Source organism: Homo sapiens, chromosome 16, assembly GCF_000001405.40.
Source record: "Homo sapiens chromosome 16, GRCh38.p14 Primary Assembly".
Lineage (NCBI taxonomy): Eukaryota > Metazoa > Chordata > Mammalia > Primates > Hominidae > Homo > Homo sapiens.
The window spans coordinates 58,816,622-58,832,115 of record NC_000016.10 but is presented as its reverse complement, the minus strand read 5'-3'; the positions used below and the strand labels follow the sequence as shown (position 1 = coordinate 58,832,115).

Here is a 15,494-nt window from a genome sequence, read left to right as displayed (position 1 = left end):
GCCAAGGCGGGTGGATCACTTGAGGCCAGGAATTCAAGACCAGCCTGACCAACATGGCAAAACCTGTCTCTACTAAAAATACAAAAATTAGCCTAGTGTGGTGGCACACGCCTGTAATCCCAGCTACTCGGGAGGCTGAGGCATGAGAATCGCTTAAATCCAGGAGGCAGAGGTTGCACTGAGCTGAGTTCACACCACTGCACTCCAGCCTGGGTGACAGAGTGAGACTCCGTCTCGAAAAGGAAGGAGGGAAGGAGGGAAGGAGGGAAGGAGGGAAGGAGGGAAGGAGGGAAGGAGGGAAGGAGGGAAGGAGGGAAGGAGGGAAGGAGGGAGGGAAAGAAATTAACATTAGGAAATTAACAGAATGTATCTCACTTCTTAATATTCTTAGCACATTAAGACACACAGTGCCTTTTTTACATAGCTGTCCTACTCGGAAACATTTTAAAACTTTAAAAGTACATCTGCTAACGTCTTCATAAAGAACAGTGTGTTCAGTCTGTTCTTTGAAATGAAGTGTCAACCATCACTGCAATTCTTAGAACGGAAATGTTAAGAGTCTGTGGTGACAAGAATGGGCTCATTGTAGGCTGCTGATAGTACAGATTCCTACAAATGTCTCCATGTACTTCTGAGCCATGTAAATGATCCAATGCCTAATGGATCATGAAGAGCATTTTGAAGCCCCCTTGTCCCTGAACATCATTGACTCTCAAGACCTCGTCAAAAACCACCAGTGGTTGCCGCATTGGTATCTCCCCAAGTGCCCCTTCCCCAAAGCAACCTTCAAATGCATTTGAAGGCTCTCAAAAGCTGGCAGCAAAATTCAAGGGGAATTCAACAGTGTACATCTGAACTTTAAAAAAACAGTTAAACCTGAGATAATATTTGAGAAATTGATGTTTCACAGTGGGAAGAGTAAGCTATTACTACATAGGAGTTTCATTTTTATCCAATTGGAATGAAATAATAGCCAATAACACTCAGAACACTTGCTGAGTGTCAGACTGTAACAAATTATTTGCATTTGTATGTCATTTACCTTTCACAAGTTTCCTGTAAGTACCATTATCATTCCCATTTTATGGACGATGTCCTCTGAGATTCCAAGAGACATTCTGAAGAGATATTCCTCATTTAGTAAGTGGCAAAATGGTGATTCAAACTCAGGTTTCTCTGATTCCAGGAGGTGAGCTTGTGAGCACCTTCCAAGGGTCCCATATGCCATTATATGGAATTCTACAAACTCTGAAAAGTTTCCAAAAATTCAGTGGAAATCATATATTTACTCGTGAAGAAACTCCCAAAAAAGGAAGTTTGGGGTTGACAAAATTAGATTCAGATCCCAACTCTGACATTTGTGGTCTATGCAACCTCAGGCAAGTTTATTCAACACCTCAGTGTGGTGATGAGAAACTCAATGAGGTGAATGTTATCATCTCTATTTTACGGATGAACATGCTGGTTCAAAGTAACCTTGGGTGTGACTATAGACAAGATTGTTGACGCCTTTATTTGAAAACGCTACAAAAAAATAAAAAAGTGGTGCTGAATTTCACTCAGTCTAACCCAGATCACAGGATTGAATAAACCAGACTTTGGGGACTACACAGTAGTCCCCCTGTATTCATCTGTTTTCACACTGCTATTAAAAAATACCTGAGACTGGGTAATTTATAAGGCAAAGAGGTGTAATTAACTCACCGTTCTATGTGACTGGGGAGGCCTCAGGAAACTTACAACAATCATGGTAGAAGTAGAAGAGGAAGCAGGTACCTTCTTCACAAGGTGGCAGGAGAGAGAGAGAGAGAGAGAGAGAGAGAGAGAGAGAGAGAGAGAGAGAGAGAGAGAGAAGGGGGAAGCACCAGACAACCATCAAACAATCAGATCTCGTGGGAACTCACTATCATGAGAACAGCAAGTAGGAAATCTGCCCCCATGATCCAATCACCTCCCACCAGGTCCCTTCCCTCAACACTTGGGGATTACAATTCGAGATGAGATTTAGGTGGGGACACAGAGCTAGATCATATCACTCCCTTTATCCATGGGGGATGCATTTTAACATGCATAGTAGATGCCTGAAACCATACATAGTACTAAACCTTATACACTGTATATACTATGTTTTTTTCCTATACACACATACCCATGGTAAAAATTATAAATTATACAATAATAATAATAAAATAGAACAATTATAACAATATACGGTATTAAATGTTTTGTAGGCCAGGCTTGGTGGCTCATGCCTATAATCCCAGCACTTTGGGAGGCTGAGGCAGATGGATCACTTGAGGCCAGGAGTTTGAGACCAGCCTAAGCAACATAATAAAATCCCATCTCTACTAAAAATACAAAAATTAGCCTGACATGGTGGCACATGCCTGTAATCCCAGCTACGTGGGAGGCTGAGGCACATGAATCGCTTGAACCCAGGAGGCGGAGGGTTGCAGTGAGCTGAGGTCACACCACTGCACTTCAGCCTGGGTGACACAGCAAGACTCTTGTCTCAAAAAAAAAAAAAAAAGTTAGGTAAATGTTGTGTGTGTGTGTGTGTGTGTTTCAAAATATCTTATCCTATGTAATGTTTTCTGACGCAGTTGACCTCTGGTAACTGAAACCACAGAAAGCGAATCTGTAAATAAGGAGCAACTACTATGCTGGTACAGGTTTATTGTGTAATTAATTGTCTTGGAGGGATCTCAGATCCAGACTACACTCCCACAGATGGGAGTAGAGTTTTCTTAAAGTGAAACGACATTTTCATTCTCAGCCGTCCTGCGAAGAGGTCCTTCTGGGGCAAGGAGTCAGGGCAATACAACATTTGGTATTGGCTACTCCTGGCCACAGTGACAGTTCCAGAAAGAAACAAGAAGCCAGTCTGGTGAAGGACCTGAGGCTGTGCCAGAACTGTAAATTACGGCATGTTTTACTTCTCTTTCCTTATTACCAGTCTTCAGTAAAATCTCTGCGATAAGCTAAGACAAAATTCAGCAAACATTTTCTGTAAAGGGCTGGATAGTAAATATTCTAGGCTTTGTGCCCATGCTGTCTCTGTCACAACCACTTAACTCTGTTGCAGAAAAGCATCCATAAATATGTAAATGAATGAATGTGGCTGTGCTCCAATAAAACTTTATATACACTGAAATTTTAATTTAATATAATTTTACATGCGATAAAAATATTATTCTTCTTTGGACTTTTTTTCAACCATTTAAAAATGTAAAATTCATTCTTAGCTCACAGGCCATACAAAAACAGGCAGAGGATCAGATTTGAAGCATAGATTAGGGTTTGCCAACCCCTGGCTCTAGGAAATTAAAGAGGAGGGCATGTCCTTCTGGCAGTAAGACAGTAAAAGAGAAAAAAAGTATGCCTTCCCCTGAAGATTAAGGATGGAAACCTACTGCAACGGTCACCATCAGAAGACAGCCACATTCCACGGAATGCTGATCTTCCTCCAACTTAACCAAGCCCACAGTGACTGAATTTTAGGATGTCAATGTAAGGCAACAATGCCCTCTAAACTGCTAAAGACTGGCTATTATAGAGTAAAGGATCAGTGATGTTGCTGGGACATAGAACATGCTCTGATGACACTTGATTCCTTCCTTTCTTCCTTTTCTTTTTTCCTTCTTTCCTTTTTTTTTTTTTCTTATTTTAGTTTCACAAACTCAGTGTGATTATGTTTAATTCTTGTTGGGGTTTTTTCGTAAGTCTGACTAATAGGAAAATAGGAAAAGCCAAATCCTTATTATTTAAACCATAGTTAAGACTTTAGGGCTGCACACTGACTCATGCCAGTAATCCCAATCCTTTGGGAGGCTGAAGTGGGAGAATCACTGAGCACAGGAGTTTGAGACCTGCCTGGGCAACATAGCAAGATCTCTTTTCTACAGTAAAATATTTTTTTAATTAGCCAGGCATGGTCGCACGTGCCTGTAGTCCTACCTACTCAGGACACTGAGGTGGGAGGATCGCTTGAGCCCAGGAAGTTGAAGTTGCAGAGAGCCGTGAACGTGCCACTGCACTCCAGCCTGGGTAACAAAGCGAGAGCCTGTCTCCAAAAAAAAAAAAAAAAAAAAAAAAAATAGTTATTTTTTTTTTTGAAAGATTAATTTTTCAAGACCTATAGTCAAGGGACAAAAGCGAACTAAGAACACAAAAGATTCTTTGATGGTGGTCTCTACCACTGCCCCTATACAAAAATTGCACCACGTGTCTTTTTCTCCACATTCTGTGTACACCTTCGTGTGAGTATGTGCACACTCACATGCATGTGGGCTTTCTCCAACCTTTACTTTTATGCACAGTTCGAAATAAAATTTTTCATTAAATTCATTCATCTTTTGGATCAGCCAAAGGTGAACTCTGTAGACATTAATGCAGCATAGAAAATCAATACATCACAATTAGTAAAAAAACAACTGGAAAGCCTCCTAGCTTATTCTATTTTATTTTTACTTATACACTTTCAGTTTGTTTGAACAGAGAGTAATTTTGCTATTCATTCCATCAGCCAGAATTCTTGAACCAATGAAGCCAATGGACACTAATGAAAAGGCATTTTTCATGTCCGTTACATTTGACTTAACACCAAGTTGCTTAATGAATTACATTTGGGTTTCACCTTAGAGTTGATTAAATATTTAACATTTGGAATAAAAATATAGCTGCATTTGGTAGGTTAAGGGTGAGCCACAAAATGGTGTCTAGCAACTGATTCTGGAAGCGCATTATAGGAAACACTATTAAAAATTATCTAACCCAATAAACCAACAGGTTAGGCTAGAAAACTGAGGCCCGAGAGATCAGGTGGCACGCTCAAGGCAAGGTCATCCAGGTAGATTTTAATCTGCCATTTATTTTAGCTGCATATTAGACTACTTTTGAGAAGCAGAAAATGGGACATTTCTTTTAGGATGGTCGATTCCTAGTTTTCAGAGATTGGCCCTTTTTTTGAACAGGTGTAGATTTTGTACCTGATCTCAGTGTGCATATGTTTCTAACACCCCCAAATGAAGGCTCTGCTCTAAGGGAAGATATGATTTTAGCTGCTGCTGTGGGTAGTGCAGGGTTAAGTGCCACATGTTTAGGTGCAAGGTTTATTCTTGAAGTTGCCAGCTTTAGCTAATTGCAGATGTAAAAGATATGACACTAATCTTTAAAAAATAAAGCAAGCACATTGCAATGAAACCACAAAATTTTTTCATTGTGCGCCTTCCCTAAGGACAATTACGCTAGAAAAAGCAGATTGATAAAAAAAAAACTCTTTTATCAATCTTTTTTGAATAAAATAACCTCTTTTAGATAAAAAAAAAAGTTAAAAAGGTTCTTCCCAACTTAAATGTGATTAAGGAAAATTAACATTTGATTCTGAGTTAGAAATTGTTTGGGGTCACAAAATTGTAAGCCGCCTCAGAACAGCTATTTCCATCCAACTAACCAACTAATTTTAGAGCATTATTGAGGTATAATTGATACAGTAAGCTACACATATTTAAGGGGCACAATTTGACCAATGTTGACATATGCATACATTCATGAAGCCATCATCACAATCAAAATAATAAGCATTTCCATAATGCCCAAAAGTTTCCTATCACCTGTTGGTAATCCACCCCCTCTCCAATGCTGTCCACAGCCATCTACCATCTGCCTTTTTCTTTGTTTGCTTTTGTTTAGTTTTGTTCTACTAGTTGTCCAGCAGCCCTTTACTGAAATATTTTCTTTTGCAGCTCTTTACTACCTGGGCATTCAGCCATCTAGGAAGTCATGAGGGTGGCACCATCAACATGGCGGCCCACAGATGAGGCCATCCCCAGGATCTCTCTAGTGGTTCCAGAGAGTTCTCTAGCTAAAGATTGATGCTGCATTTGTCAGACATTGTTAACAATCTCATAAAAAGTGATATTTACACTGCACTCAATGTTTTCCTGTCTCTTTCTCTCTTTTAGGGGTTCCTTGAGGGATCTGATGATCAGAGCAGAAGCAGAAGGTACTATCACAATCTGGGACTGCCTGTTCTGAATGGTCAGTTCCACTGTAATCCTTATACCCTCCAGTCACCAGTTGCCTTCGCAATGTATAAACAACCTTTTTTGGAGACAGACCCAAAGGATCCACCTTGGCAGCCAGGGCAGATATGGCACAGACATCCCCATCCGTGCACCTCAGATACATGGCTTTGGTCTCATTGGGTTTGAACTCAGGCCATATGGTGGGGGCAGCCAATGTTAGATAAACCCAAATGTGGGATGATGGAATAAAGTTGCACTTTGGTCTCCTCTGAGCCAAAAGCTAAAAGCTGCTTTTTGTTTACATTTTCTAGAAATGTATAGAAATGAAATCCTATAGTGTGTACTCCTTTTTAGTCTGGCTTCTTTAATGCACCATAAGTGATTTTGAGATTCAGCCATGTTGTTGTGTGTATCAATAGTTTGTTCCTTTTCTGTGTTCTGAATTAATTGTAAGGACATAGAAAAATTAACTTAAAATGAACCAAAGACTTAAATGCTAGAGTATAAAACTTCTAAAAAAAACACAGGATAAAATCATAGTGGACTTCAGTTAGAATAAGATCTCTTACATAGGATAACAAAAGCATTAATTATTTTAAAAATTAATAAATTGGGCCGGTCCCGGTGGCTAACGCCTATAATCCCAACATTTTGGGAGGCCTAGGCGGGCAGATCACTTGAGGTCAGGAGTTTGAGACCAGCCTGGCCAACATGGTGAAACCCTGTCTCTACTAAAATACAAAAAAAATTAGCCAGCCATGATGGCAGGCACCTGCAATCCCAGCTATTTGGGAGGCTGAGGCTAGAGAATCTCTTAAATCCTCTCAAAAAAAAATAAATACGAATAAAAAATAAATAAATTGGACTTCATCAAAATTAAAAACTTTTGCTCTTCAAAAGACACTGCTAAGAAAATGAAAAGGCAAGCCACAAACTATGACAACATATATCAGATGAAGGATTCACAGTCAGGTCATATAAAGAACTCAGTAAGGCAAGGCACAGTGGCTCATGCCTATAATCCCAGTGCTGTGGGAGGCCAAGGTGAGAGGATCACCTGAGGCCAGGAGTTCAAGACCAGCCTGGCCAACATAGAGAGATCCCATCTCTACAAAAAACAATTTAAAAGAATTAGCTAGGCATGGTGGCTCATGCCTGTGGTCTCAGCTACTCAGAAGGCTGAGGCAGGAGGATTGCTTGAGCCCAGGGGGTCGAGGCTGCAGTGAGCTGTGACTGTATCACTACACTCCACTGACCCCAACCTGCTGACTCTTTGCTGCCAGCCTTCCCTGAGACTCTGCCTGACTTCTACTTCCTTCCTCCTTCCTGTCTTTGCTCTTGGACTGTTTTCCTGCATCTCACCAGGAATCTGCTCTCGTGACCTCTTCAGCTACAGGATTTGACTTGCTCATAGTATCTGCTATGGTTTGAATGAGTCCCCTCCAAAATTCAGGTGCTGCCAATATAATAGTATTAAGACCTGGGGCCTTTAAAAGGGAAAGGACTCTCTGTTCAATAAATGGTGCTGGAAAAACTGAATTGCCATATGGTAGAAGAATAAAACTGGAGTTCTGTCTCTCACCATAAACAAAAAATTAACTCAAGATGAATTAAAGACTTAAACATAAGACCTGAAACTAAATTCAAACATAAGACCTGAAACTATAAAAATCCTGGAAGGGAACCTAGGAAAAACTCTTCTGGCCATTGGCCATTGGCCTAGGCAAAGAATTTATTATGAAGACCTCAAAAGCAAATGCAACAAAAACAAAAATCAACAAATGGAACTTAAACTAAAAAGCTTCTGCACAGCAAAAGAAGTATCACAGTAAACAGACAACCTACAGAATGGGAGAAAATATTTGCAAATTATGTATCCAACAAAGGACTAATATTCAGAATGTACATTAAACTCAAACAATTCAGTAAGAAAAAACAAAGCCATTAAAAGCCCAGCAAAGCCAAAGTAATTTATAGATTCAATGCTATACCCATCAAGCTATATACCACTGACTTTCTTCACAGAATTGGAAAAAACTACTTTAAACTTCATATGGAACCAAAAAAGAGCCTGCATAGCCAAGAAAATCCTGGCAAAGAAGAACAAAGCTGGAGGCATCATGCTACTTGACTTCAAACTACACTACAAGGCTACAGTAACCAAAACAGCATGGTACTGGTACCAAAACAGAGATATAGACCAATGGAACAGAACAGAGGCCTCAGAAATAATACCACACATCTACAACCATCTGATCTTCGACAAACCTGACACAAACAAGCAATGGGGAAAAGATTCCCTATTTAATAAATGGTGTTGGGAAAACTGGCTAGCCATATGCAGAAAACAGAAATTGGACCCCTTCCTTACACCTTATACAAAAATCAACTCAAGATGGATCAAAGACTTAAATGTAAAACCTAGGATCATAAAAATCCTACAATAAAACCTGGGCAATACCATTCAGGACATAGGCATGGGCAAGGACTTCATGTCTAAAACACCAAAAGCAATGGCAACAAAAGACAAAATTGACAAATGGGATCTAATTAAACTAAAGAGCTTCTGCACAGCAAAAGAAGCTATCATCAGAGTGAACAGGCAACCTACAGAATGGGAGAAAATTTCTGCAATCTATCCATCTGACAAAGGGCTAATATCTAAAATCTACAAAGAACTTAAACAAATTTATAAGAAAAAAACAACCCTATCAAAAAGTGGGCAAAGGATATGAACAGACACTTCTCAAAAGAAGACATTTATGCAGCCAACAGATATATGAAAAAATGCTCATCATCACTGGTCATTAGAGATATGCAAATCAAAACCACAATGAGATACCATCTCATGCCAGTTAGAATGGCGATCATTTAAAAGTCAGGAAACAACAGATGTTGGAAAGGATATGGAGAAATAGGGACACTTTTACACTGTTGGTGGGAGTGTAAATTAGTTCAACCATTGTGGAAGACAGTGTGGCGATTCCTCAAGGATCTAGAACTAGAAATACCACTTGACTCAGCAATCCCATTACTGGGTATATACCCAAAAGATTATAAATCATTTTACTATAAACACACATGCACACGTATGTTTATTGTGGCACTATTCACAATAGCAAAGACTTGGAACCAACCCAAATGTCCATCAATGATAAACTGGATAAAGAAAATGTGGCACATATACACCATGGAATATTATGCAGCCATAAAAAAGGATGAGTTCATGTCCTTTGGAGGGACATGGATGAAGCTGGAAACCATCATTCTCAGCAAACTATCACAAGAACAGAAAACCAAATACCGCATGTTCTCACTCATAAGTGGGAGTTGAACAGTGAGAACACATGAACACAGGGAGGGGAACATCACATACCGGGGCCTTTTGGCAGGGTAGGAGGAGGGGGGAGAGATAACATTAGGAGGAATACCTACTGTTGATGACAGGTTGATGGTTGCAGTAAACCACCATGGCATGTGTATACCTATGTAACAAACCTGCACGTTCTGCACATGTACACCGGAACTTAAAATATTAAAAAAAAAGTTTTTAAAAAAAAGCTGGGCAAAGGACATAAACAGACATTTCTCAAAAGGAGACATACAAACAGCCAACAAACACATGAAGAAAATGTTCAACATAACTAATCTTCAAAGAAATGTAAATTAAAACTACAATGAGATATCATCTTACACCAATCAAAATGGATATTACTAAAAAGTCAAAAAATAACAGGTGTTGGCAAGGCTGTGGAGAAAAGGAAACACATACATTTTTGTTGAGAATATAAATTAGTTCAATCACTATGGAAAACAGTATGCAGAGTTCTCAAAGAGCTAAAAATAGAACTACCATTCAGCCTAGTAATCCCACTACTGAGTATCTACCCAAAGGAAAAAAGTCTTTGTATAAAAAAAGACACCTGTACTCATATGTTCATCACAGCACTATTTACAATAGTAAACTCATGGAACCAACCTAATTGTCCATCAACAGTTGACCAGAAAATGTGGTATACATACAAAATGGAATACTATGCAGCCACTAAAAAGAATGAAATAGTGTCTTTTGCAGCAGCTTGGATGGAACTGAAGGCCATTATGCTAAGTGAACTAACTCAGAAACAGAAAACCAAATACCAAATGTTCTCACTTATAAGTGGGAGCTAAACAATAGGTATTCATGGTCATAAAGATGGAAACCATAGACACTAGGGAGTCCAAAGAGGGGGAGAGCGTGTGAGGGGGAGTTGAAAATTACCTATCCAGTACAATGTTCATTATCGGGGTATTGGGTACACTAGAAGCCAAATCCCTACTCGTATGCAATATACCCATGTAACAAACAAGCACATGTACCCCCAAATCTAAAATAAGATATATTTGAAAAAAAAATTTTTTTAAGGTTGTTAGGCCATGAGGGCTCCTCCCTCTTGAATGGGATTAAGGCTCTCATAAAAGAGTCCATGCAGAACTCAGTTAGCTTGCCCTTTCACCTTCCTCCATATAAGGACATAGTGTTCTTTCCCTCCAGAGGATGCAGCCCTCACCAATGCCTGGATTTTGGACTTCTCAGCCTCTAGGATTGTGAGAAATAAATTTCTATTTTCTTATAAATTACCCAGTCTATGGTGTTCTCTTATAGCAGCACAAAAGCAGACTAAGACAGTATTTGTAAACTGAGCCCATTCATCCCAAGCCTGACACTGTACTTACAGATATATATCTCATTTGTGGTTGCAGACTACAGCAGTCACACTCTCTTGATCTACGTGTGATTCAGTAGCAGCTGAGTGGACAGTTTTATGTGAACTCAGGCTAACATCACAGGCAGCATCTTGCCTCAAGATGCACTGTGTTCTCTGTCTGCCCTGGAAGTTCTCTAGTCCTTAAGTTGCCACTTAGCCTACATAAAACTGCAGGTAAGTTCGTGCTTTCCAACCCTCAAGACAACCTCAAACAATGGGGGATGAGGTATGTGGATGAATTCTCCAGCATCCCTCCCCTCGGATAAGAGAGGCATTCTGCAACCTTCTCAGACGTTCCCAGCAGAATTGAATCCCCATCACCCCACAGCACTGACCTTGATAATGCTTGCACTGATTTTTCTCATTCCCTGTCTGTCTCTTCCCACTCCCTTATTCCTGCTTCCCTAGTAAACTACCCACTCAAGTTCATGTCTAAGCCTCTCTTGGGAGAATTCAGACTACATGGCCCCCAACAAAGGCACACCAGACTCAATTCCAAGAAACAACATATATTTTCAAGAGATGATGTCGTATGTTTTACTCATATTAATTCAGTTGAAATGCTGGCAAGGACAAACACGGGTTTGTAGATCCAGATGATGGTTCTGGAGAGGAATTTGAAGTCAAGAGCATAAACAAGAATAACTAGGCTTTTTACTTCTCTGTTTTTAATAAACTTTAATAGGCAGCATTTCCACTACTTGAAAAGTTGGCCCTTGCCTCTTGATTCAACACTCATAAAAAGTTGTGATTCTTGTCCTGGAAGACAGGACTGCTGTGTTCAAACTATAATAACAATGTGACTTCATAACCCTCCTGGGTTTAAACTTGAGAACTCCCTGGGAAAACAGTCCACCTCCTTGCAAACACTATGAAGCCTAATACTACCAATTTGCTGATTCATCCAGTATCCAGAACTAGAATGACATAGTCACAGATATTCTGGATTTTGTTTTATTTGATTTTATTTTTAACCCATTTATGGCTTTGGTTTTTTCACAACCAATAGAAAATAAAATGCACTCATTTCTTCACTCTGCAACAGGAGCTAAGAAACCAGAACACCGTGAAGATTTTTCTTGGCGTACCAGGTTTCCTGAAGATGTGTTGCCCTCTTTTTATTCATGTTATAGCAAGAGGGGAAGTAAGCTTTTGATGGGATAGGAAGCACACATCTAGAAACAGAAATCTAATTCATTTTCCAAGGCTTCATTCACTGCCCTCACTATAAAAACCTTCCTGGAGCTCCGTGTTGACAATCCCAGCACTCTTTTCTCACTTTTATAGCCAACTCTTTCACTGTCTCAACAAAAGGGCAAGGCCATAGCTGGTGGAAGGGAGATTTGCTTCCACCGCTTCCTGAGAAACCCCAGTTTATCATAACTTTTTCCATGAGTTCAGGACATATTTCTAATCAGAAATACTATTTTCTGGGACTCAGACAGCTGAGTTCCAGAGATGTCTCTGATATTAACTTAAAGTATGATTTTGAGCAAGTTCTTCCTCCTCTCGGTATGTGAAAGAATCCCCTTTTGAATAAGGTAGCCCGTGTACCTGGCTCTAAGGATAATAGGAGCTTTCACCATGCTAGCAGATCATAAGGTGTATACCCAAATACACAGGCTTATTTTGATATTTATAATCAGCACACTTTGACAAAGTATTTGCTAAGTGGTGCCCTGGGCAAGACACCAACATTCCCTCTACCTCAGTGTCTCCCCTGTATAAAGCAGGCATAACAGAACATGAGGATGAAATGAGTATGGCATTTCCCCAAATGAACGAGGCTCCCCAGTGATGTCAAATTATCTTCAGCAACAGTTGGAAGAAATTTCAAAGAAGTCACTTAGGACAATGTTCAGAGACAGAAATTCTAAAAATGGTGACATTTTGCAAGAGAGGATGTCTTTAGCAAAAAAAAAAAAAAAGTGAGGAATCTTTGTGGCAACTGTGGATGCTGGGGTGTATTTTAAACTGTTGAGTATTTAATAATTATTTTGGGGAGTAATTGCGATTGTAGACTGTTAGGAGTGCAAGTGTTAAGCAAGGGGTAAAGTGATGTCAGCACTATATTTTATCATCGTTATAAGTTATAGCATTTTGGAGCACCTTTAAAAGGTGCACTGGCCTGGGCATGGTTGTTCACGCCTGTAATCCCAGCACTTTGGATGGCTGAGGTGGGTGGATCACTTGAGCCCAGGAGTTTGAGACCAGCCTGGGCAACATGGCAAAACCCCATTTCTACAAAAAAAATACAAAAATTAGCCAGGCATGGTGGTGCATGCCTGTGGTCCCAGCAACTCAGGAGGCTGAGGCACGAGAATCACTTGAGCCTGGGAAGTCGAGGCTGCAGTGAGCCGAGATGGGAGGATCGCATGAGCCCAGGAGGTTGAGGCTGCAGTGAGCCAAGATCGTGCCACTGCACTTCAGCCTGGGCAACAAAGCAAGACTCTTGTCTCAAAAAAAAAAAAAAGAGAGAGAGAGAGCACTGAAGAGTTACTTATGACTGCGCTCCTCAGGCTTATTCCATCTCCCACCAATGACCCCCAAAGAGAAAATACTTTCTCACTCACTATAATCCAGGGAGTCATAGTGAGTATAACAAAATTTACATCCCAGACTGTGATCACTAAGTAAATCTTTCATCACCCAATTCTATCTGTTAAATATTGTACCTCTGATTATATTCTGAAGTGTCACAGTTCACTCCGTTTCCAGGGACAGTAAAAATTTTATGTTTGAGCAGAGAAATCTGAGACAGAGAGAGAGAATGTGTGTGTGTGTGTCTATGTGTGTCTGTGTCTGTCTGTCTCTGTGTGTGTGTGTGTGTGTGTGTGTGTGTGTGTGTGAGAGAGAGAGAATCTCAATTGTATTTTCCTTTGTACTCTAAATACTTGTAATCACAGAGAATATTCTAGATGTTGTTATAACTCCAGAAGAATTATGCTCAGGGAATTAAAACAATCCAAGTTCAAACATACACACACACAGACACCCATACACACACAAACACACGCACACATACCCTCAGTAAAGCTAAATCAATGGGGCAAATGGGTGAAGAGAAAGGACTATGTGCTTTAAAATGAAGCTGACCTTGGTTGGAATTCTGGCCTGCAACCCACTTAGTATGGTTGAGAGCCTTATTCCTACAGACTGGGTTTAAATCCTGATTCTACCATTTGTAAGTTGTGTGACTTTGGACAAATTACTCCAGCTCTTTGTCTCTAGTACTTCATTGTAAAATGGGGCAAAAACAGTGCCTATCTCATAACAATGTTCTGAGTATTAAGTGATACAACACTTACAAGAGCTTGGGAGGGGCCAGGCACGGTGGCTCATGCCTGTAATCCCAGCACTTTGGGAGGCTGTGGTGGGTGGATCACCTGAGGTCAGAAGTTAAAGACCAGCCTGGCCAACATGGTGAAACCCCAGCTCTACTGAAAATACAAAAATTAGCCGGGTGTAGTGGCACATGCCTGTAATCCCAGCTACTAGGGAGGCTGAGGCAGGAGAATCACTTGAACGCAGAGGCGGAGTTCGCAGTGAGCCAAGATGGTGCCACTGCACTCCAGCCTGGGTGACAGAGTGAGATTTCATCTCAAAAAAAAAAAAAAAAAAAAAACAGCTTGGGAGACTACCTAGCACATAAGTAGAACTTGAACATCGGCTATTATTATCATCATTATTAACTTAGTTACATGTCCTATGCAAGTTATCACTCTCCCTATGCCTCAGTTTTCCCTTCCATGAAACAAGTATAACAGATTCCCATAAGCCTAAAATGAGATAGTGGTAAGGAATTATCTGGAACAGTGCCTGGGTAAGGAAGCCCTCGCTCAGTTATATGGGAAAATGTCATCTGAAGTGTCCCAAGTTTAATGGTCACTAGTCAAGAAACACTACACACTTTGAAGTAGCCAAAGGTGGTAAAGCCTGGAGTGGTAGCCAGCTTTATTTATTGTCAAGGCCAGCACATTCATCAACTCTCCTCATTAAAATTTGCCAATTAATGAGCAGTGGCATACCCCTTAGCAAAGGTCAGCAGCAACCTAAGCAAACTTATCAAAAATTCAAAGAGGTGCAGAGTTTGGGAAAAGTTCATTCTTCCCTTAATTAACGGATCTAATTACAATCCTGACATAACAAAATGCAAAATGCGCTCTTCAAAAGACACCGAGTCAAAGGTTTAACAGCCCAGATAACCTTCTCCTTTGGTACAGGCTGACCCAAATGTAGGGGAGGGGGGAGGAGGGAATCTTAGAGTACAGTCAACAGGGTTGATGAAAGGGCTTTTCAAGAAATTAAAGCTTAGAAGCACATCAGAATCCCAGAGCATCAAAGGAATTGAGAGGGAATAAAAACATTCCTACATCCTGGGATCTGGATGAACACAGGGTCAAGGCTTTCACTAATCTCCCTTCTTAGCAAACGTCAAAGTATTTATTTGGTGACCTTTCCTGGTTAGTTATGAGTAGCACTTTAACATCCTAAAGAGTGTGGGTCTGTAATTGTTGCCTCATTTACATCACACCTAAAGTGCAATAAGATGGAACAGTTCTGCTGTGCTTAAGTTGTTTCTGAAATAGCAGGTCCAGAATTTCAAACCAGGAACCGCTAACCAAAGGCTTAGAAAAAGGCAGCCTGACCTACAGCTCATCCCCTCCTCTGGGGGCTAGCATCTTGAGAGGGTGAGCTCGGTCTGTTTCATGACCTAGGA

At 40.3% G+C, this 15,494-nt stretch overlaps 1 long non-coding RNA gene and 1 pseudogene across 1 annotated transcript in view, besides 1 other annotated feature; both read right to left on the bottom strand.

The window, feature by feature from the left end:
• The window catches only part of LOC107984867 (uncharacterized), a 114,037-nt gene that overhangs the window by 31,591 nt on the left and 66,952 nt on the right, over positions 1 to 15,494 (bottom strand). The window lies entirely within an intron of this gene.
• Positions 2,424 to 2,624: a silencer, noted in NCBI's record as "peak2607 fragment used in MPRA reporter construct". NCBI's record gives its function as "represses an SCP1 promoter by STARR-seq MPRAs in K562 erythroleukemia cells {active_cell/tissue: K562}" and the evidence as "EXISTENCE:reporter gene assay evidence [ECO:0000049][PMID:32103011]".
• Positions 5,770 to 6,219, bottom strand: RPL12P36 (ribosomal protein L12 pseudogene 36; annotated as a pseudogene).